Raw genomic sequence first — 25,401 nt, forward strand, 5'->3', positions numbered from 1 at the left:
TATGACCCATTTTGAACTTGAGTAAGAAAATCGCTTGAATTTGCCCTTGTCTAACATCACTTCCATGGTCTAAAATAAATATAAAATAAACAGCAAGTAATAAGTTATTAGCAAAAAACATCAAGTGAGAAGTGTGCATTAAAATGATGTATAACATAACCACATTTACTTAAGAATGTATTCCGATATCAAATGGCAAATTTCAACAACGCAAAAGCCCCACTTACTTTCACATCAACCTAATATTTTAGAGAGGTTAAAGGAGCCATCTCAGAAAAGTGACATTGGAGTAGAGATCTGAATGACATGAAGAAGTAATTCACTGGGATATTTGCAGCAGAGCTCTCCGGAAACAGAGAACAAGTGGAAAACCTGCAAGGCTGGATCCAAACCCTCCGCAAGTAGGAGCTGAGGAGTGGGGAGGTGAGGTGGAAATGAACAGGGACTGTGGAACAGTCAGGGCGTCATGGGCTTTGGTGTGTCAGTAACAGCTTTATTGGGGAGGAAGGGTGGGGTAATGAGCAGAGTTTACAAGGAGCTGGAGAAAGAGAGTCAGCACTGGCTATTGCCCCATTTATCTGCTTCTCTTAACAATATTTTTAAAAATGCTCTCTATCCTCGCTGTTCCCAAGCCCTCTCTTCTCATTCTTTCTTGAATCCACCCCAATCTGGCTTTTGTCCTTACCACTGCCTTAGACTGCCAGTGTCAAGGTCACTAATGGCCTCTGTGTTGCCTGATCCAATGGGCATTCTTAGTCCTTATCTTTTAAAACATATTTAATTGACAAAGATTGTATATACTTAAGGTATACAATGTGATGCTTTGCCATATGTGCATGTTGTGAAATAATTGCCACAATCAAATGAATTAACACATCCATCAGGACCCAGGCTGTACCTTAGATCCCCAGAACTAAGTTCATCTTATAGCTGAAAGTTTGTACCCTTTGACCAACATCTCCCCATTTCCCCAGCTCCCCTCACCAGTTCCTGAAAACCCCTGCTCTACTCTCGGCTGCTATAAGTTTGACTTTATTAGATTCCACATATCTGTATAGCATTTGTCTCACTGTTTATCCCTCCTCCTTGGCAATGTGTCCACTTGTCTTTTAGAACACCACATTATCCTACCATGTTTCTTAACTCTGTCTGCTCTTTCCCTTCTCAATTTTCCTGAACTTTTTCTTCATATCTCCCTGATCATTCAACACTGGAGTGATTCAGGGGATCATGCTTGAGCCTCTTCTCTTTCCTCTCCATATTCATTCCCTTGGTGATTTCATCCTGGCTCATGTCTTCAAATGCCATTTATATGCTGATGATTTCCAAATGTATTTCCACAGCATAAACCTCTTTCTGAATTCAGAACTAGTATCTCTAACTGCCTACTTGACAACTCTGCTTGGATGTCTCAAGCTTAACATGTCTCAACGTTCACTGCTGACATTTTCCATAAAACCAGCCCCTCGGCCAGACACAGTGGCTCACGCCTGTAATCCCAGCACTTTGGGAGGCCAAGGCAGGTGGATCACCTGAGGTCAGGAGTTTGAGACCAGCCTAGCCAACATGGTGAAACCCTGTCTCTACTAAAAATACAAAAATTAGCCAGGCGTGGTGGTGTATGCCTGTAATCTCAGCTACTCAGGAGACTGAGGCAGGAGAATCGCTTGAACCCCAGAGGCAGAGGTTGAAGTGAGCCGAGATCATGCCATTACACCCCAGCCTGGGCAACAAGAGTGAAACTCCATCTCAAAAAAAAAAAAAAAAAAAAAAAAACCCACCTGTGGTCTTCCCCATCTCTGTTAATGAATCTTTATGGTCATTCAGGTTGTTCCCCCACTGATGCCCTACATCTTATTTTATTTGTAAAATGTAAGTCTTATTGGTTCTAGGATCCAAACATATCTATATTCTGCTCACTTCTCTCTGCCTCTACTGCTACCACCCTACTTCCAAGCCATCGCTAAATTCCCACAGTTTCTCTAACAGTTCAACTTGCTTCCACTCTTGCCAGAGAGAGCCTTTAAAAACTAAGTCAGATAATGTCACTGATCTGCAGCTTCTCATCTCATTGACTATAAAGCTAAAGTTTTACATGATTTCTCCCCACCGCCTACCTCTACCCAGACCTCCAACCTTGTCTCTCAAAAATCTTTCCCTCATTCACTCAGCCCCAGCCACACCAGCCTCCTTATTGGCTCCAGAGCACTCCTGCCTCCGGGATGCTGCCCCTGTTGGGCCCTGTGCCTGCACTCATCCTCATGCTGACCTCCTGGTTTTCTCCAGGTTGCTGTGTGAGGCCTTCCCTGGCTACCCCATTTAAAATAAATGACAACCCCCTCCTCCAGCACTCCATAAATCTCTTCCTTGCCACATTTTTCTACACAGAATTTCTGAACATTTAACTTGATTTAAATTTCAGATATGTGTTTATTTTGCATACCTTGATTTATATTTCAGGTGTGTGTTTATTTTGCATAACTCCTCCACCCCCCCACTGGAATGAAAGCTCTAGCAGGGCAGAGATTTTTGCCTGTTTTGGTCGATGCTATACCCTAGGTCCTAGAACACAGGCACACAAAGAAGCAGTCCAGAAACAGCAGGTGAATAAAAAATCAACCAATAGGAAAGAAGGTAGGAAAGGCATTTCTAGCAGACAGGAAGGATGGAAAGCACCAGGTCCACAGACCTGGGACCTGGAGATCTGCCCTGCCTTCCTGTGTTCTCCTCTTGAGATTATGTTGTCTTCTGTAAAGCGAAGGTTGAACTCCATGCCCTGAAGGCCCCTCCAGCATTAGAATCCCCAGACTTGGACCCTAAGCGGGGTAGAGAGGTGGCCCTGGGGTTACTGGGCCTAGGGCTCCTGGCAGAGGTAGGGGATGTACGGGGAGAAGGAAAGGTAGCTGGAGCTGAGCATGCAAGTACTAGCCTATGAGAGGAAATGGGCTCACCCTTCTTTCCCATAGCACTCTGACAGCTCTCTCCCCTTCCTGCCCACTCCACCCCAAGCAGGCTTTCTAGTAAAACCTGAGTGGCAAGAAAATAACTTTGCAGCTACTCCAGCAATTTCCAGCGCACCTGTCTTCTGACTTGCAACTCCCCTGTCATCCCCTATGGAAGCCCTGGGCTCTCTCTTACTGGGGCGTACCAGGATTCAGTGTCTATTGCACATGGTGGACATCTCTGCCCCAGTGGAGAGGGTGGCTTCGGAGCACAGGGACTCGAGCTTGATCAACCTGCTGACTTTGAGAGCACTGGCCAGCTGCTACACTACTCTGAGCTTCAGCTTCTCCCCTGTAAAGCATAAAGGATTATTACATGAGAGTGAATGAGGGGTTGATGCACAGTGTCTACCAAACAGCAGGTTTGGAAGGCCTGTTCCCTTTGCACTTTCCTCTGCATTCTTTCCAGGGAGACTTTCCAAGCCCTGTTTCTGTTTATACCTGCATCCATGCAGGGTCCAGTTAGCTGAGTGCTCACTTGGCATGGCACTGAATTGCACCCACCTCTCAGTTTCTGCACCTGTCTGTCTATCAGGTTAGGAGTTCCCTGACGGCAGAATCAGGATCCTCTACTACATCTAGAGCATCCTGAGATCAGGGGTTGTATCTCTCTGTCAGACAGGGAGGATAGGCCAGGGCCCTTCCCAGCACACTGGCTCAGCTGAGATCTCAGAGGCCTGCACATGCCCTGACTTTCAGCATTGTGACCTAGTTTAATGTGAGACAGTAAGCAGGGGACATGTGTCTTAGGGAGGGAGGGATAGGCACTATTTTCTACTTTGGACCAGACCAATTCATCTAGTAGCCTGGAGCAGTCAGACTGCTTTGTAACAAACTGTCCATAAATACAGACTAGTTCATGGGGGGCTCACCAGGGCCCATGCCAGGCAGGAAAATGTGGGCAGCTCACTTGTGTTGGTAAAGTCGTGAGCCACACACACACACACACGCACATGCACAAACACATGCATCTGAGTGGCCTCTGCAACTGCTTTTAGGAGTATTTGTAAGAGCAATTACGCCTCTCAGGAGGCAGCTGATGCAGGATCAGGTGTCCCCCACCAGTCTCTAATTAGCAGGGGCGAAAGAAGGAGTGGGGAGTGATAAATCAGGAAGCTGGGCAAAGTCCTGGAAAATCCCTGATCCCTTACAAGTGTCTGACAACTGAGGACACTTTGGAGGGAGGCTTCATGGCTGGACTTGGTCCCTGCACTCCCCTTTTGTTCTGTGACTGTCTCTTTCTCCCCTCTGAAGTGTCCCTCCCCCATTCCCTGCACCCAAGGGCCCTGCCACTGCTGGCTGCCTTCAACCAAACTGTGCTCCTCACAGCCCTGCCTTCTTTTTCACACAGCCCTGTGAAGTCTTACCCCTTATGGTATTTTGCCTATCACCTCCATTCCATGTGCTTGGCTGAAATCGTACCTTATACCTTTGACTTGATGGGCTGTGACTGTATGTATACTCCTCACTCTATTGCTAGATTCCTTTTTCCAGATAAAATTTTGTTCCAAACCACTGTCTGTCCTCTGCCCATGCAGATCCCAGGCCCCACCATGTACCATCAAGCTCTAGAAATGGAAAGCCACCTTAATGTCCCCATGATTCCCACTCAGGGGAGCATACTCAGTGCACACAGGCCATTATCAAAGCACAAGACAGAGTCTCATGTCTTGGGCTGAATCGTCACCTGAGGCCCAGCAGCAGCAGACTGGAAGGAGCAGCAAATGGGAAGGCGACCTGGCTCCCCTCACCACGCTACTCCCATGGACTGTGTGACTGTGGGGCTTCATGTTTTTCATGGGCAAAATGAGTTAGTTAAAGCTGATGAACTTTAAAGAACTTACACCTTCAAAACTATCTTTAGGTAGGTAACACACTGTAATCCATCAGCAAAACTTTGCAATGGCCCCCAGCGATAAAATAGCCAACTTCCTGACTACAACCTATGTGCTAAGCACATATATTCCCTCACCAAATTCTCACAGAATTCTAAGGAATTGTTAGTATCCCCATTTTACAGACAAGGAAACTGAAATTCATAGAGGTGAAATGTCTTGTCCAGATAAAAAGACGTGCAGGTGCAATTCAAACCCAGGCCTGTCTGACAGCAAAGCCAGTGCCCACCATTGAACAGTAACATTCTTTCAGATTGGATTAGGCTGAAATAAACTTAAACACCAGACCCAGCCAGGAAGTGGAGCTCCCTATTCCCAGGACCAAAGAGGGTCATCCCAAGGGCATTTTGGCTGAATGAGAGCCAGAGAAAACTGACACTCCCTCCAGAAAACCCAGAACTGGCCATGTTGAGGTAAGTGACTGACTCACAGAGCTAGAATGTGTCTTTGAAGTCACCTAGTGGAACCTGTCACAGCCATCAGATGCTCAAGCACCTAGCAAAGCAGCCTGATGGGGAGGAGAGCCCCTGACTGGAGGTCAGGACACATGGGTTCCAGCCCAGCTCTATCACAGCCTCGCTGTAGGCTCTTGGGCAACTCATGTTCTCTCCAGACTTCAATTCCTGTCAGAAGACAGATGAGCCCCAATGGTGAGAAGTAGGCATAGGTGTGTTAAGAAGCACCTGCATTCTAAGCTACTTGAAGGCAGGGATTGTGTGTTTTCTATTCATAACCCTATCTCCAGTGCCTTGCACATAGTAGAGGCTCAGTAAGTGTTGGTTGAATGAATACATCAATTATATTAACAACTTTACCTTGTGACCTGGTATTAGGCAAAGGCATTACTTCTTTTTTTGTTGAGGTACAATTCATATAACATAAAGTTACCATTTTAAAGTGAACAGTTCAGTGGTGTTTAGTACATTCATATATTATGCAACCACCAACTCTATGTCGTTCTATAACATTTTCATCATCCCCATTAGCAGCTACATCCCATTCTCTCCTCCTCTCACTTCCTGGCAACCATCAGTTTGCTTTCTGTTTCTATGAATTTACATATTGTGAATTTAAGTTATTATTATTAGTTATTATTAGATAGATAAATAGAGAAGCTCCTATGCACCAGGCGCAGTGTAAGGCATTTCCCATGCATTCTCTGAGGACTCCTCCATCTCAGACATTCTGCTGCTGGACAGAGAATCAACTGTACAAAATGTGATTTCCCCAACAATGAGCCCAAAGGGGAGGGAATTTCCTTTAGTTGGAGAAGGGGGAACTGAGTGTCTCTTTCCTCTACTACTGGCAGCCTTTATGCCTCTGCTCCTCTTGCTGCCACCAAGAGCAGAGCTGTGGCTGCCCTTCCACAGCTCTCAGATCCAAGAACAAAGGCCAGAACTGGTGACTGAGATCCAGTGATCCAACAAGCCCAGGAGAGAAAGCTATAAGAAGATGTAAGAGAGGAAAGCAGGTCAGGACAGACAGATCCACCCAGAAGCCCAAAAAGGATGAGTCAGCCCTCTTGGCCCTTTCTTGGTCTCATCTCCCTTCCTTGAATAGCAGACGGGCACAAAAGGTGAGAGAAGAGCCAAGGTCAGGTCCAGGAAGCAATGGAAAAAGATGAGGAGGATTCAAAGTTTGTGGGGAAGGTCGGGCACCGTGGCTCACGCCTGTAATCTCAGCACTTTGGGAGGCTGAGGCGGGCAGACCATGAGGTTAGGATTTCGAAACCAGCCTGGCCAACATAGTGAAACCCCATCACTACTAAAAATACAAAAATTATCCAGGCATGTTGGCACATGCCTGTAGTCCCAGCTACTCAGGAGGCTGAGGCAGGAGAATCGCTTGAATTGGGGAGGCAGAGGTTGCAGTGAGCCAAGATTGCACCACTGCACTCAAGCCTGAGAGACAGAGTGGACTCTGTCTCAAAAAAAAAAAAAAAAAAAGAAGTGTGTGGGGAGACAACTAGTGCAGGTTGGCAGGTTGAGGACTGAGAGCCGCTGATGTAGGAGACAGTGCCCTGGGGAGAGGAGGAGGCTTGTGAGAGGGAGAGGAGGCTAGCAGCCTCAGAGCATGGGGCAGTGCCATACCAGGAAGCAGATGAGGCATGGCTATTCAAGATGAGAATGCATGATTTTCTGGCCCAAGTCACCTTCCAGGACCATCTGCTATGACCCCTCTGGCAATCTGTTAAGAGCTGTCCTCAGCATCCCTCCCCACAGGACATTGAATCACCATAACCAATTTCTTCTGCCCCCTACCACTAAGCAACAGCTCAAATAGGTTGCCTCACTCAGGAGAGAGACAAACTAGCCAGCTTCTGCCTCCAAATTTGAAATAGCCAGTGCATCCTTAGGCTGGGGCAGAGTTGGGGCCAAAGCTTCTCCATGTGTCATGGGATATGAGCTCATCCTTATTATGTTGGGTGGGGGTTGGACAGTTACCCAGACTTGTCATGTGGACCTGGAGCTTATGAGGTCATTCACATAGGCAGTGAAAGAACCTCTCCCATATACGTGAATGCCTGTCTCCCAAATGGGGCAACCTGTGGGCAGAATAAGGGACTTCTCAGCCCTAGAATGTTGAGGTTTCCCCAACCCCTCCCTTGCATACACACACACACAAACACTCCCTCAGCTGTATCCACTGCCCTCTTTCCCACACCCTAGCTTTGCCCAGCAGTCAAAGGCTCACACATACCATCTTCTCCTTAAGGCTCTTATTATGCCGTGAGTCAGAGGGCGGGAGGCAGATCTGGCAGATACTGAGCCCCTGCTAACCCATAAGACCGGTGTGACTTCCTTGATCTGAGTCTGCTGCCCCAGACTGACTGTCACGGGCTGGGAAGAGGCAGATTCCCCCCAGATGAAGTCAGCAGCAGAGCACAAGGGCATCAGCGCCAAAGTAAGGATGCTTGATTAGTTCTTCAGGGCAGAGTGGGCTGTGCTTCCTCTGCCCCAGAAAATGGCACAGTCCCTGTTCTATGGGAAAAAGAATGTGAGGTCCCTGGGTGGGCTCAGGGAACAGAGAGGTCATGAGGAGGGGATAGCACTGCAGAAACCAAGGGTGCCTTGTGAGTCCTCCCTCTGTCTTTTTAGGCATGATCCAGGAACATGACAAAATTAGTGCTTTAAATAGATTTACTTGGGGCTAAGAGAAATGTGCCTGTCAGGAAAACTATGGGGAATCAGGACACTTCTCAAAATTAGCCCCACTGAGTATTGTCTTTATAATTCCTTCTTTTTGGATTAGATTGTAAAAAAGAGAGTGTAAATGAATGATGTCCATATAATAAGTTATTAGCCAACCATTAAAAAGAAAGGGAAGAAATAAATCAGTTTGGTTTTTACACACACATACAGACACACACATATAAACATTGATCAACACTGAAATGTTTAATAGTCATTATTTTCGGGTCGTAAAATTCACTGTTCTTCAATGAATACTTGTAGAGCACATATTATATGCAGTAGTTTTGATAGGTTCTAGGGGTATAGTGGAAAACATACCAGGTATACGCTGCTCTTAGCTTATTTTCCAGTGGGAAAGATAGACAATAAGCAAGTGAACAAATGCAAATAAATTACTCTAGATTGTTATAAGTGAAATTAAGTACCAATCCTTTAGATATGGTACACAGAGAAGGATCTCTGACAGACCCCAACATTGACACTGAAGCTGAAAGGCATAAAAGAACCAGAGACCTGGGGAGGGGCCGGTGGGCAGAAGGAGAGCAGGTGCCAAGCCCCCAGGTGGAGAGCTCTGGGCTCATCTCAGGAACCGAAGGCCCTCAGTGAGGTAAGAATATACCTCTCAGGGAGAGATTGACATGAATTGGGGCCCCAGAAGAAGGCAGAAGCCAGGTACCCAGGGTCTTTTAAACCACGGCAGTGAGTTTGAATGTTATTTCAAGTGTGCTGGTGCACTGTTGGCACGGGGGAGAGATGTGCTCAAATCCCCACTCTGAAAGATTTCTTAAGCTATTTCTAGAGTATGATTTACAACAGGAAATGGATGATTTGATTCTGATCTTTATACCTTCATGCATTTAAAAAAGTACTTAAGAAAGTAGTTTGGTTTGTCATTATAAAAAGCAATACTTATTTTTATATTGTGTAGATTCAATCTTGTTTCCTTGCCTAGAGTGGGCCGTGCTTTGGAGTTCTTATGAGCATGGCATTCCTGAGAACTTCTCTAACTGCAGCCTCGGGCATAGAGGCTGGGCAGCAAGTGGCAGCAGCAGAGGACTCCTAGAAGCCTTCTACTTGACTCTACTTGGCCTAAAGTCAAACTCCCTCCACCAAAGACAGAGTTTATTTCCACATAGGATGGAGTTAAAAAATATATTCTGAGAGAGGAAGGGCTTGTGGCCCAAGAGAACACCCCAGAAATACCACCCCTTCATGGGAAGTGACTCTATCTTCAAACATATAACCCAGCCTGGACATCCCCGAAAGACACATAACTTTCCATTTCATGCCCTTGAAAGTGAATCTTTTGGCCTAATAATGAGAACAAACTCATTTTGAAAGTGGAAAAATTGAGATTCAGAGCAGAAGTTTGACTAAGGTCACAAAACAGTAGGATGCCTCACTCAGCTCCCTGTGCCTAGGTCAGAAAAGCATCACAGGAATAGTTGAGCTACCAGAATCCTCTGGCCAGGCAGGAGCTGTGTGTCCCTGGGAAATGGGGCCCTAAAGGGTTTGCTGCTTAAGATGCCTGTGGTGAGTCAGGAAGGGGTTAGAGGAAGTTGACCAACTAGAGTGGTGAAACCTGTCCATCACCTTCAACCTGGAGGGAGGCCAGGCTGCAGAATGATATAAAGAGTGCCCTGACTCCTGCTCAGCTCAGCACTCCACCAAAGCCTCTGCCTCAGCCTTACTGTGAGTCTGGTAAGTGTCGGATGGTAGAACCAGGGTTGGGACTCGGGACCTCCAACAGCATACGATGTGGTGGGGGTGGGCAGCCTGGGTGGGGGTGGGCATTACTCTGGGGCTGGATTCAGCTGGACTTTCATTCTAGGGGGACTCGAGTCAGAGTACTGAGAGAAAAGTGCCTTGGCACAGAAGTGCAGAACAGAGAGTAATCATCCTATGTCCCATCTTTTCTTGTGACCATATTTTTGGATTTGTGTGTGAGAGAGAATTATGGAAGGGAGGAGGGGAATAGCATTCAACTTCTTTCCTAAACCTCTTGGGTTTTGACAGACCATCATTTTGCCTTCTTTATGGAGGGAGAGGTTCAGGGAAGAGCTTCTACCTTTTGGCTATGCTGCACAGAGGGATGGCAGAATGGGGAAACCTTTCTATTTGGAGAAACCTAGGCAGAGCTGGGACAGGAAAACTCAACTTAGAAGTATAAGACTTGGAAGAACAACCTCCAACTCTCAGCAACCTTCCAGCTCCCGCAGCCCCACCCCAGACACAAGGACTGCAGCTAAACCTCAGAAGGTCAGGAGAGAAAGCAGCCCTGGGGTTGAATAGGCCAACCTGCTGGCTTTACAGGGGGGAAAACCAAATCCCAGGAGACTAAGTGACATGCCCAGAAACACACAGCATTCCAATGGGAGATTCAGGCCTAGAGCATGTCCTGTGGCTCCAGTCTGGAGGTCACACCATGACCTCTTAGGTCCTCTCTGGCACGGCCTATTGGTTTTCTAGGACTTGGTGTTCTCCAAGAGACATTTCATTCCCTAAGGCCTTACTCCTCACTGTGACATAATCCCAGAACGCATCTCTGCTCCTTGGTCAGTGAAGCGATGAGGGTGGACACAAGGACTAGACAAGAGCAGACAGTGAGCTGGCACCTGACCCACCCTTGCAGAACAGCCCTGCAGACAGATCTCCTTGTTGGCTCTCACCTGGGAACAAGGAGGCTCCTAGGAGGACCTTTCTCTGCCCCTCCACATTTCCACCCTTCTCTCTCTGCTGCTTTTGGGAAATGATAGTCCAGAGGTGGTAGAACAGTACCCTGCCCAAGGGAAGAGGGGATGCTAAAAAACCAGATACTTCTGCAGATTCCCAAGGTTTCATCTATTTCCTTTGCCTTCAGCCTGTGCATCAGACCTCTTCTGTCTTTCAGGTTGACAGTAGCTTCTAAGATGTCCCAGCAACACACACTGCCAGTGACCCTCTCCCCTGCCCTCAGTCAGGAGCTCCTCAAGACTGTTCCTCCTCCAGTCAATACCCATCAGGAGCAAATGAAACAGCCAACTCCACTGCCTCCCCCATGCCAGAAGGTGCCTGTCGAGCTCCCAGTGGAGGTCCCATCAAAGCAAGAGGAAAAGCACATGACTGCTGTAAAGGGACTGCCTGAGCAAGAATGTGAGCAACAGCAGAAGGAGCCACAGGAGCAGGAGCTGCAGCAACAGCACTGGGAACAGCATGAGGAATATCAGAAAGCAGAAAACCCAGAGCAGCAGCTTAAGCAGGAGAAAACACAAAGGGATCAGCAGCTAAACAAACAGCTGGAAGAAGAGAAGAAGCTCTTAGACCAGCAACTGGATCAAGAGCTAGTCAAGAGAGATGAGCAACTGGGAATGAAGAAAGAGCAACTGTTGGAGCTCCCAGAGCAGCAGGAGGGGCACCTGAAGCACCTAGAGCAGCAGGAGGGACAGCTGAAGCACCCGGAGCAGCAGGAGGGGCAGCTGGAGCTCCCAGAGCAGCAGGAGGGGCAGCTGGAGCTCCCAGAGCAGCAGGAGGGGCAGCTGGAGCTCCCAGAGCAGCAGGAGGGGCAGCTGGAGCTCCCAGAGCAGCAGGAGGGGCAGCTGGAGCTCCCAGAGCAGCAGGAGGGGCAGCTGGAGCTCCCACAGCAGCAGGAGGGGCAGCTGGAGCTCTCTGAGCAGCAGGAGGGGCAGCTGGAGCTCTCTGAGCAGCAGGAGGGACAGCTGAAGCACCTGGAGCACCAGGAGGGGCAGCTGGAGGTCCCAGAGGAGCAGATGGGGCAGCTGAAGTACCTGGAACAGCAGGAGGGGCAGCTGAAGCACCTGGATCAGCAGGAGAAGCAGCCAGAGCTCCCAGAGCAGCAGATGGGGCAGCTGAAGCACCTGGAGCAGCAGGAGGGGCAGCCTAAGCATCTGGAGCAGCAGGAGGGGCAACTGGAGCAGCTGGAGGAGCAGGAGGGGCAGCTGAAGCACCTGGAGCAGCAGGAGGGGCAGCTGGAGCACCTGGAGCACCAGGAAGGGCAGCTGGGGCTCCCAGAGCAGCAGGTGCTGCAGCTGAAGCAGCTAGAGAAGCAGCAGGGGCAGCCAAAGCACCTGGAGGAGGAGGAGGGGCAGCTGAAGCACCTGGTGCAGCAGGAGGGGCAGCTGAAGCATCTGGTGCAGCAGGAGGGGCAGCTGGAGCAGCAGGAGAGGCAGGTGGAGCACCTGGAGCAGCAGGTGGGGCAGCTGAAGCACCTAGAGGAGCAGGAGGGACAACTGAAGCATCTGGAGCAGCAGCAGGGGCAGTTGGAGGTCCCAGAGCAGCAGGTGGGGCAGCCAAAGAACCTGGAGCAGGAGGAGAAGCAACTGGAGCTCCCAGAGCAGCAAGAGGGCCAGGTGAAGCACCTGGAGAAGCAGGAGGCACAGCTGGAGCTCCCAGAGCAGCAGGTAGGACAGCCAAAGCACCTGGAACAGCAGGAAAAGCACCTAGAGCACCCAGAGCAGCAGGACGGACAACTAAAACATCTGGAGCAGCAGGAGGGGCAGCTGAAGGACCTGGAGCAGCAGAAGGGGCAGCTGGAGCAGCCTGTGTTTGCCCCAGCTCCAGGCCAGGTCCAAGACATTCAACCAGCCCTGCCCACAAAGGGAGAAGTATTGCTTCCTGTAGAGCACCAGCAGCAGAAGCAGGAGGTGCAGTGGCCACCCAAACATAAATAACCACCCGCAGTGTCCAGAGGCCCTCAGATCGTCTCATACAAGGGAAGAGAGAGCCACTGGCTCCACTTATTTCGGGTCCGCTAGGTGGCCCGTCTCATCTGTGAACTTGACTCTGTCCCTCTACATGTCTCTTTAATGGGGTGAGGGTGGGGGAGAGAGGGAATTATTGTCCAGTGCCAACCCCAATGACCCCAATCCCAACCTCAGGTGAGCAGAGCCTCTACTTGAGGGACTATTGTTACTATAGGAATCCTTACTTCCCCAGTATTGAAGCTGAATCAGTGAGTGTGTACAATGATACATAATAAATCCTGGAAGTCTTGGGATCCTATATTCTCTTTAGCATTTTCTTCTATCACACCACATAAAAACCTGTGTATGGGTCAATGGCTGCAAGAGACTCCCACGGCCCATTCTCAAAGGAGGACAGACTCTTTTTAAATTTTGGTCCTCAAACCACTCAATAGATCTAACAGTTCCTGAAAAAGAAACAAACCCCCCCCCAAAAAAAATCAGCTTCACTTGATGTACTTGAAAACAACACTTGCCAGCCATGAAAAGGGGATACGTTGTTCTGGTTGCATCTCAGTCCAACACTACCTTCCACCACAACACCACACTCAACCCCTGGCAGAGCCCACCCTACACTTCTGCTCCAGACTCAGCTCCTCTCAGGAGGGGGACTGGGAAGATGCTAGGAAAGCTTGGGGGCTCCATCTGGGTTCTAGTCCCTTCCCTGGAAACATTTCCTGGCTCTTCTTCTTGGGTTTTCTCTCTTAGAAAATCTCATGATTTCAAAAAGTCTTATGGTCTGCCTACTTGGCTGAGGAAGACTTTAGCAAAGCAATAGAAGTAGAATTGGGCAAGGTGGGAAGAGGAGGTGTTCCAGATTGTCTCTGAGGGAAAGTGACAGCGTTATTAAAGTAAGTAAAGGTTGGACCAGCAGCAGTCATGGAAGCCAAAACTACTGACTAAGCTGGAGAAATACAGACCCAGTCACTGCAGGTGTCACCCTCCTGCTACCTGGCTCCCTGACATTTCCATAGCCTTTACTGCCATCAATCATATCAGGACCTGGGGCTCTCCTTTCCTGGGAAAAGCGCTGCTTTTAATTCTTCAAATTGCTCACTTTTAACTATTTGACCACAGCATTTTAGGCAGGCTGTCTCAAGCTATTTGAAGCTATTTTACTGCAGGCAGTTAAGGATTTATCAGGGACTTCCCTACTGAAGTGTCCAGAGACACTCAAGTTTAATAGATCTGCACATCATGGCACTTAGCATTCCTTCCTCCCCACCCAACCCCAGCAACACTCACTGTGTTTCCTCCTTAGGTGTTTTCTCTTTGAGTTAAGAAAACCGCCATTGCCATCTGTGTATTCACAATCATTCCTCATTCTTCCTCCTCTTCCCTACCCCCATCAAGGATCAAGTCCTTGCTATCTCCACCAATACCTTCTGAGCTCGGCCTGAAGTCGTTTCTCACCTGAACTGTTGCAACACCCTTCCAGCTGGTCTCTCTTGCTCTCTATCTCCACATACCCTGCGATCCACTCATCACCCAGAGCACAGGGTGTTCTACTTAAAATTCGAATCTAACCACATCCCTCCTTAGGTTAGCACTTGTCAGTGGTTCTCATGACTGAGACCATGAGAAGGCAGGCTCAAGCTCTGGGCAGGGAGATTGGGGACAGAAGGTACAGTAATCAGAAGCACCCAGTGTGTGTGCACATTTTCCAGTTGATTTTTTAAAAATAGACATTTTAGGACAGTATCAAATTTGTAGAAAAGTTAAGAAAATATTAGAGTTATCATATATTTCACACAGTTTCCCCTATTATTAATATTTTACATGAGTAGGGTACATTTGCTACAAATTATCGCAGCTCAATACGGTGTTATTGGCTGAAGTTCCTGGTTTATTCAGATTTTCTTAGTTTCACCTAATTTCTTTTTGCTGTTTCAGTATCCCATCCAGCATATCACGTTGCATGTACTTGTCTCCTTAGGCTTCTCCCTTGACAGAGTCAGTTCCTCAGACATTTTTGTTGTTGTTGTTTTGATGATCTTGAAAGCTGCGAGGGGTGCTGGTCAGATATTTTGTAGGATATCCCTCAATTTGTATTATATTTGTCTGATGTTTTTCTCATGATTAGACTGGGGTATGGGTTTTTAGGAGGAAGACCACAGAGGTAAAGTGTCATTCATTCTTACCACATCATATAAAGTATACGTATATCAGACACAACTCATCACAGTTGCTATTAAACTTGATCACTTAGCTGAGACAATGTGTGTCAGGTTTCTCCACTGTAAAGTTATTCTCCTCACCCTCCCCCAATTTCCCCTTCTATACTGTACTCTGGAAAGGAGTCACTATGCAAAGGTCACCATTAAAAAGTGGAATGTAAAGTTTCCATCATTGAGGATGGAGAATCTACATAAGTTCATAAGTTATTTGGAATTTTCAGTACAGATTTGTCCCCACCCTATTTATTTATATTAGTATGGAGTCATGACTAGTTATTTTGTACTATGGGCTATAACCCAATAGTACTTTATTTATTTGTTTGTTCAAATTTTTCCAGCTTTGGCCATTGTGAGCTCTTTCATTGGCTCCTGTGTTCTTTAAAATATACTTCCATCAATATGTGTTTTTTAATTTTATTTTATGTATGTATGTATTTATGTTCAATTTGTTTTCTGTTTTTGTTTTTTTTTTTTTTTTTTTTTTGGCATACTGCCCTGCTTTCTGACACTACAAGATACTCCAGGCTTACCTTGTATATTTCCTGCCCCAGTCCTAGAATTAATTTCTTCAAGGAGTCCCATTTCATTTTATCGGAGAATGGTATTAGAAACCAAGAACTTGGAACTGGGTATAACCATTACTCCTGGGGTAGCATTTCCTTTAGGCCCTCTTAACTGGCAAAGGAAGTATATATGTGTATACTAACCTGTGTGTGTGGGCATTTATGTATGTTTTCTAGTAGTGATCTGTATCTATATTAAGCTAAACAGAGCTCATACTAATGTCTCCAACTATAATTTATTACTACTTGGATCTTTCTAGCCTCCTCCCATTTCTTATCTGAAAATTATCACTCCAGCTGTGAGAAACCTGGCCCCCAATTGCCACCTGTTTTCTTAATTATTCATTTTCAGTATTCAGAAGTGACTGTACTGTTTTACATTCCCACCAGCAATGAGTTCTTCCTGTTGTCTGTTATTTTCACCAGGATTTGGTGTTAGCTTTTTGAATTTTAGCCAAATTTATAGGTGCATAGTTATATTTCATTGTTTCAATTTGCAATTTTCTTATACATGATGTTAAGCATACACTCATATGTTTTTTGCCATCTTCATATCTTCTTTTATGAGGTGTTCAGATCTTCTGCCCACTTTTTTAATTGAGTTGTTCATTTTCTTTCTGTTGAGTTTCTAAAATTATCTTATATATTGGGATTATCAGATATGTGTTCGGCAAATATTTTCTCCTGGTCTGTGGCTTGTCTTTTCATTCTGTTAACAATGTCTTCTGCAAAGCAGTTGTTTATAATTTTAATAAAGTCCAACTTATCAATTTTTTTTCAAGAATCACACTTTGGTATTGTATCTAAAAACTCATCAACAAACCCAAGATCACTTAAATTTTCTCCCGTGTTATCCTATAGAAGTTTTAATTTTACATCCTTCATTTAGGACTATGATACTATGAATTGATAGGTCTCAAATCATTATTTTGTATCTGGGTATCCAACTGTTTCAACACACTACACCTCTCTTTGCCCCCCCCACTCAATCTGCCTGGTACTAAGTGTAAAAAAAAAATTTCTCCCAACTCATGGTTTTTACAACGGAAAAAGATCAAGATGAACAATCAGCTTCCCCACAATCTTGGGTTCCATGGCAGGAGAACAGTCCCTACTTCAACCCATGGGAAACATCATAAATGCCTGAAGGGAGACATATCCCTGAGGACAGCCAGAACCAAAGTCGGGGGCGGGACTACCATCCCCAGCCCTGGAAATTCTGAACTGTAGCTCTGCCAAAGGAGATGCCAAATCAGACTGGCTGTTCGGCAGCATTGCACTATGAGAGGTACATTTCACAGGTTCCTAGGTCACAGGTTCCCATGTGTTGAAAAAATTGTTTCCATGGTGCGTTTATGTTTAAAGTGGGTTTCTTCCAGGCAACATATAGTCAGATATTGGTTTTTATCTATGCTAGTAATCCTTGTCATTTTATTGATGTATTTAGACCATTCACATTTGAAGTAATTTGTGATATAATTGTATTATTATCTACCATGTTTGGAGCTGTTTTTTCTTCACAGCACTTTTGTTCTTTCCCTCTTTCTCTGCTTTCTCTAGTTTTGAGACTTTATTATTTTCATTTTATATTCTCTGTTAGCATATAATTATATAAATAATTATGTTTACTTTTAAAAATTAGTGGTTTCCCTGGAGTTTAAAACATACATTTACAACACATCTAAGTCCTTTGAAGTAACACTATAGTGCTTTATAAGTAGTGCAGATAACTCATAACAGTATTCTCAACTCTTCTTGCTGTCATTCATATCATGTATTCATTTGCTATAATTATCCAATACATTATTACTTTGAATAGCTATTAGATCAATTAAGAATAAGAAAAATAAGCATGTTATTTTACCTTTTTTGATACTCCCTCTTATTTTATATAGGCCCACATTTCTGACTTATATCATTTTTCTTCTTATAACATTTTAAAAAATATTCCTTCCTCTTTTAACATTTATTGCAGCTATTAGGGCTTCTGACAATGAATTCTCAGAATATCATTTGTCTGAAAAAATATTTATTTTATCTTCAATTATTAAGGATGATATCACTGATATAGAAGTATAGAGTTTTCCTTTCAACAATTTACATATTTTATTCAGTCTCTTTTTGCTTGTATGGTGTCTGACAGGAAGTCTGGTGTAAGTAATACTTGCCCTTGCTCCTCTATATGTAAGGTTTTTTATTCTGCAGAATTTTCAGAATTTTCTCTTTGCCTTTTGTTTTGTTCAGTTTGAATAGAATAAGCCTAGGGGTAGATTTCTTGGTGTTCTCTGAGCATCCTGGATCTGTTATTTAATGTATCGCTCTTTTGGAAAACTCCAATTAGTACTTCAAATATTTTGTCTGCTCCATTTGCTATTTCATTTCCTCTGGTATTGCTGTTATGTATATGTTACATCTTTCAAAATTGTCCCACATTCTTGGATAACTCTGTTGTTGATGTTGTTGTTTTTAATTCTCTTTTTCTTTTTCTGCTTCAGTTTGTGAAGTTTCTACTGACATGTCTTCAAGATCACTGATTCTTATCTCAGCTGTGTCCAGCCTACTGATGAACCCACCAAGGAATCTTCATTTCTGTCAGTTTTCTTTTTTCTAGTGCTTGACTCTTTCCTAGAGTTTCCATTTATCTACTTGCATTACCCGGATATTCTTGTATGTACTGCACTTTTTCCATTACAGACATTATAATACTAATAATATTTATTTTAAATTATCAAATTTTTCTAGTGTCCTAAGTTTTGTCTCTTCTATTATTTTTGGGTGTCCCTAAGAACTCCTTAAATAGAATTTGCACAAACACAACTGATAAACTCCCTATTAGAGTGATCAAGGGAATAAAAGAGAGAACACACAAATGACCAAATCATGAATAAAAGAGGTAAGATCATTGCAGATTATTTAGATATTAAAATGATAATAAAGAATATATTCACTGAGTAGAATACAAATATCTTACCAGGACATCCTGATTACTTGATAATTTCTACTTATGATATTATAATACATGATGCCATTAATATAGCAGATTAGCATGATGTTTTCTGGAATGTTCAGATGATCAATGTCCTTTCATACTTAATGTGTCGAGAGCAAGAGAGTTAATACAGTTCTAAGGCAAGATCATAAATGTGTATTGCTCCCCATCCTAGGTGAATATACCACTTCTTATTCTCCTGACTCCTAGGTGTTGAACAGACTACACTCATCAGAGATATAGCTGCATATTACACACTAGAAGTTATATTGATCTGTTCTATTAAAAATTTTATATATTATAAAGGAGTTGCAATTGAGTCTACCACTTGGTTAAGTTTGTGGAAGTCTACCATTATTGTGTTAGTCAGCATTCTCCAGAGAAACAGAACCAATACATTGTGTGTATGGGTATGTGTGTATGTATGTATGTTTGTAAGTATATGTATATATACATATTATACACACACAACTAGATATATATATATGTATGCATACATATATAAATATATTTATTATAAGGAATTGGCTCACACTCATGCAATTATGGAGGTTGGCAAGTCTAAATCTGTGATGTGGGCTGGTAGGCTCAAGACCCAGGAGAGCCAATGTTGCAGTTACATTCTGAAAGCCAGTAGGTGGAGACCCAGGAGAACTGATGGTGCAAATGAAGTTCCAAGGCAATCTGCTGGAGAATTTCCTTTTGCTCGGAGAGGCTGGCCTTTTCATTGTATTCGTGCCTTCAGCTCACTGAATGAGGCCCATACATATTATGGAGGGCAATCTGCTTACTTATAGTTCATTTATTTACATATTAATCTCGCCAAACTGATGGCATAGAAGAAAGCTGGCTTCACTCTCTACAAAAATACTAAAAAGGAAAAAAGAAAGAAAGAAGAGAGAGAAAAAAGAAAAGAAAGAGAGAGAGAAAGAAAGAAAGAAAGAGAAAGAAAGAAAGAAAGAAAGAAAGAAAGAAAGAAAGAAAGAAAGAAAGAAAGAAAGAAAGAAAGAAAAGAAAGAGAGAGAGAGAGGGAGGGTAGAAGGGAGGGAGGGAGGGAAGGAGGAAGGAAGGAAGGAAGGAAGAATGAAGTCAGGCATGGTGGCTCATGCCTGTAATTCCAGCACTTCGGGAGGCCACAGAGGGCAGATCACCTGAGGTGAAGAGTTAAAGACCAGCCTGGCCAACATGGTGAAACCTTGTCTCTACTAAAAGTACAAAAATTAGCTGGGTGTGGCGGCTGAGGCAGGAGAATAGCTTGAACCCAGGAGATGGAGGTTACAGTGAGCTGAGATTGTGCCACTACACTCCAGCCTGGGCAATACAGTGAGACTCTGTCAAAAGAAGAAAAAGCAAGAAGAAGAAGAAGAAGAAGAAGAAGGAGGAGGAGGAGGGAGGAGGAGGGAGGAGGAGGAGGAGGGAGGAGGGAGAAAGGAGAGACAAAGATAAACAGCACAGAGATTATCACCAGCAATATCCCAGAACTCAAATAGGAGAATGCAACAGTTGCTGTGGCAAAAGAGAAGTAAAAAATCTCTGAGCAGATGTTAAGAGAATTGGACTTCTATATTCATGATGCCCCCTGCTTCCCCCATGCTTAGTTTTCCTGGTACCAAGTGTAAAAATTTTTCCCCCAACTCATGGTTTTTACAACGGAAAAAGTGAGATCAAGGTGGACAATCAGCTTCCCCACAATCTCGGGTTCTCTGGCAGGAGGCCTGTCCCTGTCTCAACCCATGGGAAATATCATAAATGCCTGAAGGGAGGCATATCCCTGAGGACAACCAGAAACAAAGGGGTGAGGGAGGGTGAGACTACCATCCCCAGTCCTGGAAATTCTGCACTGTAACTCTTCCAAAGGAGATGCCAAATCAGATGGCTGTCCAGCAGCATCACACTGTGAGTGGTACATTCCACAGGCCCCCTGGGAACAATCCTTAGCCAGCCTTTCCACACTGCTGGGACATTCCTTTGAGGACCTCCTCCATTTAAGATAAGTAGTGCTCTGATCCTTGACTAGAGCTGAGGCAAACCTGGGATTAAGTACCATCTAGTACCAAAAAGGAGGCAGCAACATAGCAGGGGGAAAAAAGGAAAAAAATCAACAGGTAAATTACAAAGAATCTCTAAGCAAACATATCCAATAAAAACCAAGGCAAGCTGGACAGAGAAAATTGGAATAAATAACTAATCTTTCAATTCAAAGACATACACATAAATTCAGAAGAAACATTAGCAAACAAGGAACCATGGCCTTCCCAAGAGGATAAAGCAAGAAACCAGTGACTGACCCTAGTAAGATGGCAGTATGTGAACTCTCTGACCAAAAATTCAAAATAACAGTTTTATGGAAACTCAGTGATCTCCAGTATAACACAGAAAAACAATTTGGAAATTTATCAAAGAAATTTAACAAAAAGATTGAAATAATTTTTAAAAAAATTAAACAGAACGCTTGGAACAGAGAAATACATTTGCTGAACTGAAAATTTTGTTAGAAGCTCTCAACAGCGGAATGGATCAAGCAGAGGAAAGAATCAGTAAGCTCAAAGACAGTCTGTTTGAAAATACAGTGTCAGAGGAGAAAAGAAAATATTAATCTTAGCCATGATCATGCTCTAAGTTGACACACAAAATTAGCCATTACAATAATTCACCAAGATCCCTGGCTTTTTTTTTTTTCAAGAGCTGTAGCGGTCAATTAAATAGGAATGTATAATGGGGACTACTAAAAGAGTGGCACTGATCTCTGCCATTCTGCCCATGATATATTGTTTTCTATTTACTATCTTGGCTATTTGGGAAGGGGGTGCAGTTTTAAGGGTTTCAATTTGATCTTTCTAGTATGATAGCTCTTACTCCGTGGATCAAGGAACAAGTATGAGAAAACTTCCAGGCACTAAATATGTTTGTCCTACAAGTATGTACCCAGAAACTGGGAAAATGGCCACTGGATGTGGCCATTGACTTTTTTATTTTATTTTTTTTTTGAGATGGAGTCTCACTCTGTTGCCCAGGCTAGAGTGCAGTGGTGCGATCTTGGCTCACTGCAAGCTTTGCCTCCCAGGTTCACGCCATTCTCCTGCCTCAGCCTCCCGAGTAGCTAGGATTACAGGCACCCGCCACCACGCCTGGCTAATTTTTTGTATTTTTAGTAGAGGTGGGGTTTCACCGTGTTAGCCAGGATGGTCTCCATCTCCTGACCTCATGATCCACCCGCCTCGACCTCCCGAAGTGCTGGGATTACAAGCGTGAGCCACCTGACCTTTGACTTCTTAAACCCATAGTGAAAAGGACTACCTTGGTCAGAACTCTTTATCACTAACCCCAATACACTCTTATTCTAATGGGGAGGTCAAGGTAATCCCTGGAGTCCCCTGATGTTAGTGTCAGTTCAAATTATATATCCAACAGCCCTCAAAGAACCTGGGTACTTCCCTTTCTCCAAAGTACAGTTGCTAAGGAAATAAAAGTTTGAATCACTACTGTATACACTTAATGTGGTGTTGTACAGTCCTTTCTCAATAGGACTTGAATCTCTTTCAAACAATGGGTTCTGGATCTGAGAACTGGCTCAGGACTAGATATTGGGTAAGAAATTGTGACTGATTTTTGAGGCAGCTGACATCAGCCACATAGGGATACACACACACATACAGATGGTCCTCAACTTTGGATGGTTCAGCTTACAATGATTTTCTGATGGTATGAAAGCAATATGCATTTGGTAAAAAACCATACAAGTGCTTCAAGTATTCATCTAACCATTTTTTTCAGTTTAAGCATAGCATTCAATTAATTACATGAGATATTTAACACTTTATTATAAAATAGGCTTGCGTTAGATGATTTTGCCCAACTGTAAGCTGATGTGAGTGTTCTGAGCACATTTAAGGGTGGCTAGACTAAGTTATAATGTTTTGTGGGTTAGATAGATTCAATGCATTTTCAAGTTGTGATATTTTCAACTTACAATGGGTTTATTGGGAACATGACCCCATCATAAATTGAGGAGCATCTGTATGTGGCACATGTGTGTAATGTCCCTAATGACTTCCCACCTATTTTGTCCCTAATAAGACCATATTCTACTATCCATTGCTCTAGACCCCTGTGGGTCAGGACATCTTAGTGATTATTCTGACATTCCAATTTTGTTGGCCATGATGGTAGTCACATCTACTTTGCCTCTGATGGTTAACTAACACAATCTACCCTCTGTTATTCCCTTATTGTCCTTTCATTCTCATTGACACTATGGAATCTAGTTCAATCAGCATTTCCTACCTCAGACCAAGGCAATAAAGGACAGCCACAATTGGGCCTCTCAATAATGATAGTACGGCCCACCCAATCACCAGCACATTTCTTGTAACTTTAATGAAATAAGTGTCTTCTGCGACCTCTTGAAAAACATACACAGTTTCTGAGTTTCAGGATTATGTAATAGATCTGTTCTTACACACCTGCCTCTCAACCTTTTTATCTTTATCTCAATATTCTGCCAAGATGGTTCTGGAATCTCCGTCTCATTTAATATGGGCCATAAGTTTTTCTGAGTTCCAAAAGGCATCCTGGAAGCATATAAAGACTTTATTTAGGAAACTGAGTCATATGTATTGCCCCCATATCAGGAATTATTCCCCTAATCATTCTCATACTCCACATCATATGATTTAACACACTCAAGATCCTCTCCTAGGGAATCCCAACCTGTGCTGGTCCATATTATCCAGGCCCTGCAGATCCTTCAGTGAATAATTCTCTCCCTTAGCAGGACAAGTACTAACCCAATTGGCTCTGCTAAGACTTGAACCAATACCCAAGAAAGGAGGTGGGGCCAGATCTTGAGTTAGATAAGTATTGTCTTACAAGGCACCTGTTTCAGTTCAGCCAATGGGATGTAGGGATTGATATCTTCTATCCAAGAAGGACCACTTCTATAGGCTGAGAAAAATCAGGTATATCAAGCACATCCATGAATATATTCCCATCCCAAGTCTTGAGGTCCCATTCCTTCCTTATCAGGACCCTATGCCTTTGGCATAAGGATGCTGTAAAGTCAGCTTCCTATAAAGCTTAGTGTTAGTTCCTGTGCCTGGTGTTTAACACCATCTTCCCTCTGCAGGAGGTGAAGTTCTCTTTAAACACTGCTATGGAGCCCTTCTGACTTTCATATCACGTCTTAAGATAGTAAATGAACGACTTGAGTTTGTCCTCTTTTTCTCTTTAAAACATCAAGAGCATCCAGAAACATTAGCCAAGCCCTTTGTCCATTTCTTCCATATCTCTCAAACGTCAAAGTTATTTATCAAGTCAGTGCACTGCCTTTTGCTGCATCTTGCCCTAAATCACCACAGGAGATCATAATTACAACACTACAACATGCCAAGGGCTATCGCTGTTTCACTTACCACCAGCAAAGGGGTTCTTGTTCTCTTCTGTGGGGAGCCAACTCCAGAATCCCACAACTAGAATCTTCCTAGAACTGCAGCTACCAACTGTCATTGTTTGGGTTCCCTGGAAGCACATCCTGAGATGAGGATTTATTTGCAGTATAACTTATTAAAGCAGTACTTCCAGGAGAAACTAGTTAGGGCATAGGAGTAGCAGGACAGAGAAGGAGAGGAAACCAGATTGTCATTTTGGGCAAACATGTGTGCAGGTAGCTTCATCCTGATTCTGCAAGAAAACTCTGGAATGTAAAAGAAAAGCTGTATTGATATGAGACAAGAAAGCTAGGCTGTGATACTCTCGTACCTGTAAGTCATTGGCTAAGGGCCACTCCAGGGAGACATAAAATATCTGGTACTTCAGGCTTTGTGCATGTGAGGACATAGCAAATTCAGTTGCCAAACACATTCATCTGAAGAAGCATCAGATAGAAACAAATGAAAGCAAAAGGATACCCAAACCTAAGTGGTGTTGAACAACACCATGAGAATGAAGTCAGCAAAATCCAGACTGAAAAACTCCATATGACAAATAGTATGGTTTCTTTAATAAAAAATTGCAAAGGGACAAAAGAAATAAACTGGGAACCTTTAGATCAAAATAAACTTAAGAGATATATAGATGTATTAATTAATAAAAATGTATCTACATTATTTTGATGTCATTTCAAATAAGTCATTAGTAAATTAATGATTTGTAGCATAATTGGAAATGTGAACACTGAGTGGATATTTCCTAGTATAAAGATGTTAGCTAGTATTTTCAAGGTGTGATAATATTTAACATAACTACTGAAAAAAGTATTTATAGATATAAAGAGATGAAATGACATGAGTCTGTGATTTGCTAAAAGTAACACTGTAGGAGGCAAGTGGTAAGAGAGATAAAATGAACAACGTTGTCCATAATTTGAAAGTTATTAAACCTAGTTGATGTACACGTGATTTATTCTACTATTCTGTTCATTTATATGTTTTAAATTACCATTAAAATGTCTTTAAAATAATATAATAATTTTATTGAAGTGAACTAACATATACAGTATAAAAACTGCATCCTTTGTAACTACACATATAATTAAAAAAAAATTAAGACTTCAACTTAAAAGTGTAACGAGCAGTGCAGAACTTTTAAAACATTTCAGAGAGCTGTCTTAGGTTGGTTCCCTGAAGAAGCACAGTCTGCGACAAGTGAATAGGTACAAGTAGTTTATTTTGAGATGTGACCCCAAATAGCAGAAGTCAGGGCCACTAGGAAGAATAAAACAATAGAGAGAGAAAGTCAGTCCAATGGTGTGCTGTTGAGCTGTGTATTCCTGTGGATAACAGGCTAAACCGCACCCTGAAGTTTCCAAGGGCCATCTAGAACATATATTAGAACTGTTTGCTGGA

At 43.8% G+C, this 25,401-nt stretch overlaps 1 protein-coding gene across 1 annotated transcript, besides 37 other annotated features; it reads left to right on the forward strand.

The window, feature by feature from the left end:
• Window positions 7,250–10,989: a promoter, noted in NCBI's record as "-2500 to +1240; full proximal regulatory region". NCBI's record gives its function as "drive expression in epitheium of keratinocytes" and the evidence as "EXISTENCE:transgenic organism evidence [ECO:0001131][PMID:8234288]".
• Window positions 7,275–7,660: an enhancer, noted in NCBI's record as "-2473 to -2088; distal regulatory region (DRR)". NCBI's record gives its function as "drives expression in upper granular layers of epidermis, esophagus and cervix" and the evidence as "EXISTENCE:reporter gene assay evidence [ECO:0000049][PMID:9512462]" and "EXISTENCE:transgenic organism evidence [ECO:0001131][PMID:11850802]".
• Window positions 7,275–7,798: an enhancer, noted in NCBI's record as "HindIII/HaeII fragment". NCBI's record gives its function as "drives expression in epidermis" and the evidence as "EXISTENCE:transgenic organism evidence [ECO:0001131][PMID:9804813]".
• Window positions 7,275–8,516: an enhancer, noted in NCBI's record as "HindIII/RsaI fragment". NCBI's record gives its function as "stimulates expression in response to calcium" and the evidence as "EXISTENCE:reporter gene assay evidence [ECO:0000049][PMID:8550612]".
• Window positions 7,609–7,660: an enhancer, noted in NCBI's record as "-2140 to -2088". NCBI's record gives its function as "promotes expression upon binding by Sp1" and the evidence as "EXISTENCE:reporter gene assay evidence [ECO:0000049][PMID:9895295]".
• Window positions 7,613–7,716: a response element, noted in NCBI's record as "-2131 to -2028". NCBI's record gives its function as "mediates induction by calcium" and the evidence as "EXISTENCE:reporter gene assay evidence [ECO:0000049][PMID:9159190]".
• Window positions 7,614–7,653: a protein binding site, noted in NCBI's record as "AP1-5". NCBI's record gives its function as "mediates response to phorbol ester" and the evidence as "EXISTENCE:protein binding evidence [ECO:0000024][PMID:7759510]".
• Window positions 7,621–7,640: a protein binding site, noted in NCBI's record as "AP1-5". NCBI's record gives its function as "mediates response to phorbol ester, oxysterol, calcium, and cholesterol sulfate" and the evidence as "EXISTENCE:protein binding evidence [ECO:0000024][PMID:7759510, PMID:10816578, PMID:11254751]".
• Window positions 7,621–7,640: a protein binding site, noted in NCBI's record as "AP1-5". NCBI's record gives its function as "mediates response to phorbol ester, oxysterol, calcium, and cholesterol sulfate" and the evidence as "EXISTENCE:protein binding evidence [ECO:0000024][PMID:7759510, PMID:10816578, PMID:11254751]".
• Window positions 7,621–7,640: a protein binding site, noted in NCBI's record as "AP1-5". NCBI's record gives the evidence for it as "EXISTENCE:protein binding evidence [ECO:0000024][PMID:15025563]".
• Window positions 7,621–7,640: a protein binding site, noted in NCBI's record as "AP1-5". NCBI's record gives its function as "mediates response to phorbol ester, oxysterol, calcium, and cholesterol sulfate" and the evidence as "EXISTENCE:protein binding evidence [ECO:0000024][PMID:7759510, PMID:10816578, PMID:11254751]".
• Window positions 7,626–7,645: a protein binding site, noted in NCBI's record as "Sp1 site". NCBI's record gives its function as "synergizes with adjacent AP-1 site to promote activity of enhancer" and the evidence as "EXISTENCE:protein binding evidence [ECO:0000024][PMID:9512462, PMID:16123409]".
• Window positions 7,626–7,645: a protein binding site, noted in NCBI's record as "Sp1 site". NCBI's record gives the evidence for it as "EXISTENCE:protein binding evidence [ECO:0000024][PMID:16123409]".
• Window positions 7,639–7,665: a response element, noted in NCBI's record as "VDRE (vitamin D response element)". NCBI's record gives its function as "mediates response to vitamin D" and the evidence as "EXISTENCE:reporter gene assay evidence [ECO:0000049][PMID:12445200]".
• Window positions 7,949–8,431: an enhancer, noted in NCBI's record as "PstI/AluI fragment". NCBI's record gives its function as "promotes differentiation" and the evidence as "EXISTENCE:reporter gene assay evidence [ECO:0000049][PMID:8798509]".
• Window positions 8,056–8,080: a protein binding site, noted in NCBI's record as "-1691 to -1667 probe". NCBI's record gives the evidence for it as "EXISTENCE:protein binding evidence [ECO:0000024][PMID:12192491]".
• Window positions 8,850–9,789: a promoter, noted in NCBI's record as "-900 to +40". NCBI's record gives the evidence for it as "EXISTENCE:reporter gene assay evidence [ECO:0000049][PMID:1487505]".
• Window positions 8,867–8,876: a protein binding site, noted in NCBI's record as "G1 (-883 to -874)". NCBI's record gives its function as "mediates activation by interferon gamma" and the evidence as "EXISTENCE:protein binding evidence [ECO:0000024][PMID:10585866]".
• Window positions 9,099–9,595: a transcriptional cis regulatory region, noted in NCBI's record as "PstI/AvaI fragment; negative regulation of gene expression". NCBI's record gives the evidence for it as "EXISTENCE:reporter gene assay evidence [ECO:0000049][PMID:8550612]".
• Window positions 9,200–9,216: a protein binding site, noted in NCBI's record as "T1". NCBI's record gives its function as "negative regulation of transcription" and the evidence as "EXISTENCE:protein binding evidence [ECO:0000024][PMID:8554386]".
• Window positions 9,217–9,232: a protein binding site, noted in NCBI's record as "T2". NCBI's record gives its function as "negative regulation of transcription" and the evidence as "EXISTENCE:protein binding evidence [ECO:0000024][PMID:8554386]".
• Window positions 9,272–9,295: a protein binding site, noted in NCBI's record as "-454 to -477 probe". NCBI's record gives its function as "promotes gene expression in HCK cells" and the evidence as "EXISTENCE:protein binding evidence [ECO:0000024][PMID:12126624]".
• Window positions 9,320–9,339: a protein binding site, noted in NCBI's record as "T3". NCBI's record gives the evidence for it as "EXISTENCE:protein binding evidence [ECO:0000024][PMID:8554386]".
• Window positions 9,350–9,629: an enhancer, noted in NCBI's record as "active region_1737". NCBI's record gives its function as "activates an Ori minimal core promoter by ATAC-STARR-seq in GM12878 lymphoblastoid cells {active_cell/tissue: GM12878}" and the evidence as "EXISTENCE:reporter gene assay evidence [ECO:0000049][PMID:35858748]".
• Window positions 9,364–9,416: a silencer, noted in NCBI's record as "-386 to -335". NCBI's record gives the evidence for it as "EXISTENCE:reporter gene assay evidence [ECO:0000049][PMID:15120610]".
• Window positions 9,377–9,416: a protein binding site, noted in NCBI's record as "OL40". NCBI's record gives its function as "suppresses gene expression" and the evidence as "EXISTENCE:protein binding evidence [ECO:0000024][PMID:15120610]".
• Window positions 9,483–9,515: a protein binding site, noted in NCBI's record as "H2 footprint". NCBI's record gives the evidence for it as "EXISTENCE:protein binding evidence [ECO:0000024][PMID:8550612]".
• Window positions 9,509–9,743: a promoter, noted in NCBI's record as "-241 to -7; proximal promoter region (PRR)". NCBI's record gives the evidence for it as "EXISTENCE:reporter gene assay evidence [ECO:0000049][PMID:7759510]".
• Window positions 9,601–9,622: a protein binding site, noted in NCBI's record as "C/EBP site". NCBI's record gives its function as "mediates response to phorbol ester, thapsigargin, green tea polyphenol, curcumin" and the evidence as "EXISTENCE:protein binding evidence [ECO:0000024][PMID:10037704, PMID:10970794, PMID:15044435]".
• Window positions 9,619–9,639: a protein binding site, noted in NCBI's record as "AP1-1". NCBI's record gives its function as "mediates response to phorbol ester, arsenite" and the evidence as "EXISTENCE:protein binding evidence [ECO:0000024][PMID:7759510, PMID:15037572, PMID:20006635]".
• Window positions 9,619–9,639: a protein binding site, noted in NCBI's record as "AP1-1". NCBI's record gives its function as "mediates response to phorbol ester" and the evidence as "EXISTENCE:protein binding evidence [ECO:0000024][PMID:15037572]".
• Window positions 9,620–9,641: a protein binding site, noted in NCBI's record as "AP1-1". NCBI's record gives its function as "mediates response to protein kinase C" and the evidence as "EXISTENCE:protein binding evidence [ECO:0000024][PMID:9506439]".
• Window positions 9,620–9,641: a protein binding site, noted in NCBI's record as "AP1-1". NCBI's record gives its function as "mediates response to protein kinase C" and the evidence as "EXISTENCE:protein binding evidence [ECO:0000024][PMID:9506439]".
• Window positions 9,621–9,639: a protein binding site, noted in NCBI's record as "AP1-1". NCBI's record gives its function as "mediates response to phorbol ester and green tea polyphenol" and the evidence as "EXISTENCE:protein binding evidence [ECO:0000024][PMID:7759510, PMID:11698415]".
• Window positions 9,621–9,639: a protein binding site, noted in NCBI's record as "AP1-1". NCBI's record gives the evidence for it as "EXISTENCE:protein binding evidence [ECO:0000024][PMID:15025563]".
• Window positions 9,621–9,639: a protein binding site, noted in NCBI's record as "AP1-1". NCBI's record gives its function as "mediates response to phorbol ester, green tea polyphenol, arsenite" and the evidence as "EXISTENCE:protein binding evidence [ECO:0000024][PMID:7759510, PMID:11698415, PMID:15037572, PMID:20006635]".
• Window positions 9,749–13,089, forward strand: IVL (involucrin). The gene is made up of 2 exons (NM_005547.4): window positions 9,749–9,792; window positions 10,982–13,089. The coding sequence occupies exon 2, from the start codon at window positions 11,001–11,003 to the stop codon at window positions 12,756–12,758; it is 1,758 nt and encodes a 585-aa protein (NP_005538.2). The 5' UTR covers window positions 9,749–9,792; window positions 10,982–11,000; the 3' UTR covers window positions 12,759–13,089.
• Window positions 9,789–10,989: a silencer, noted in NCBI's record as "+40 to +1240". NCBI's record gives its function as "may downregulate expression in MCF-7 and keratinocytes on heterologous promoter and may regulate native promoter" and the evidence as "EXISTENCE:reporter gene assay evidence [ECO:0000049][PMID:1487505, PMID:10816578]".

This window comes from Homo sapiens, chromosome 1, assembly GCF_000001405.40.
Source record: "Homo sapiens chromosome 1, GRCh38.p14 Primary Assembly".
Lineage (NCBI taxonomy): Eukaryota > Metazoa > Chordata > Mammalia > Primates > Hominidae > Homo > Homo sapiens.

Coding starts and splice junctions, on each gene's coding strand:
- IVL (NM_005547.4), top strand. CDS start 11,001: ATGTCCCAGCAACACACACTGCCAGTGACCCTCTCCCCTGCCCTCAGT.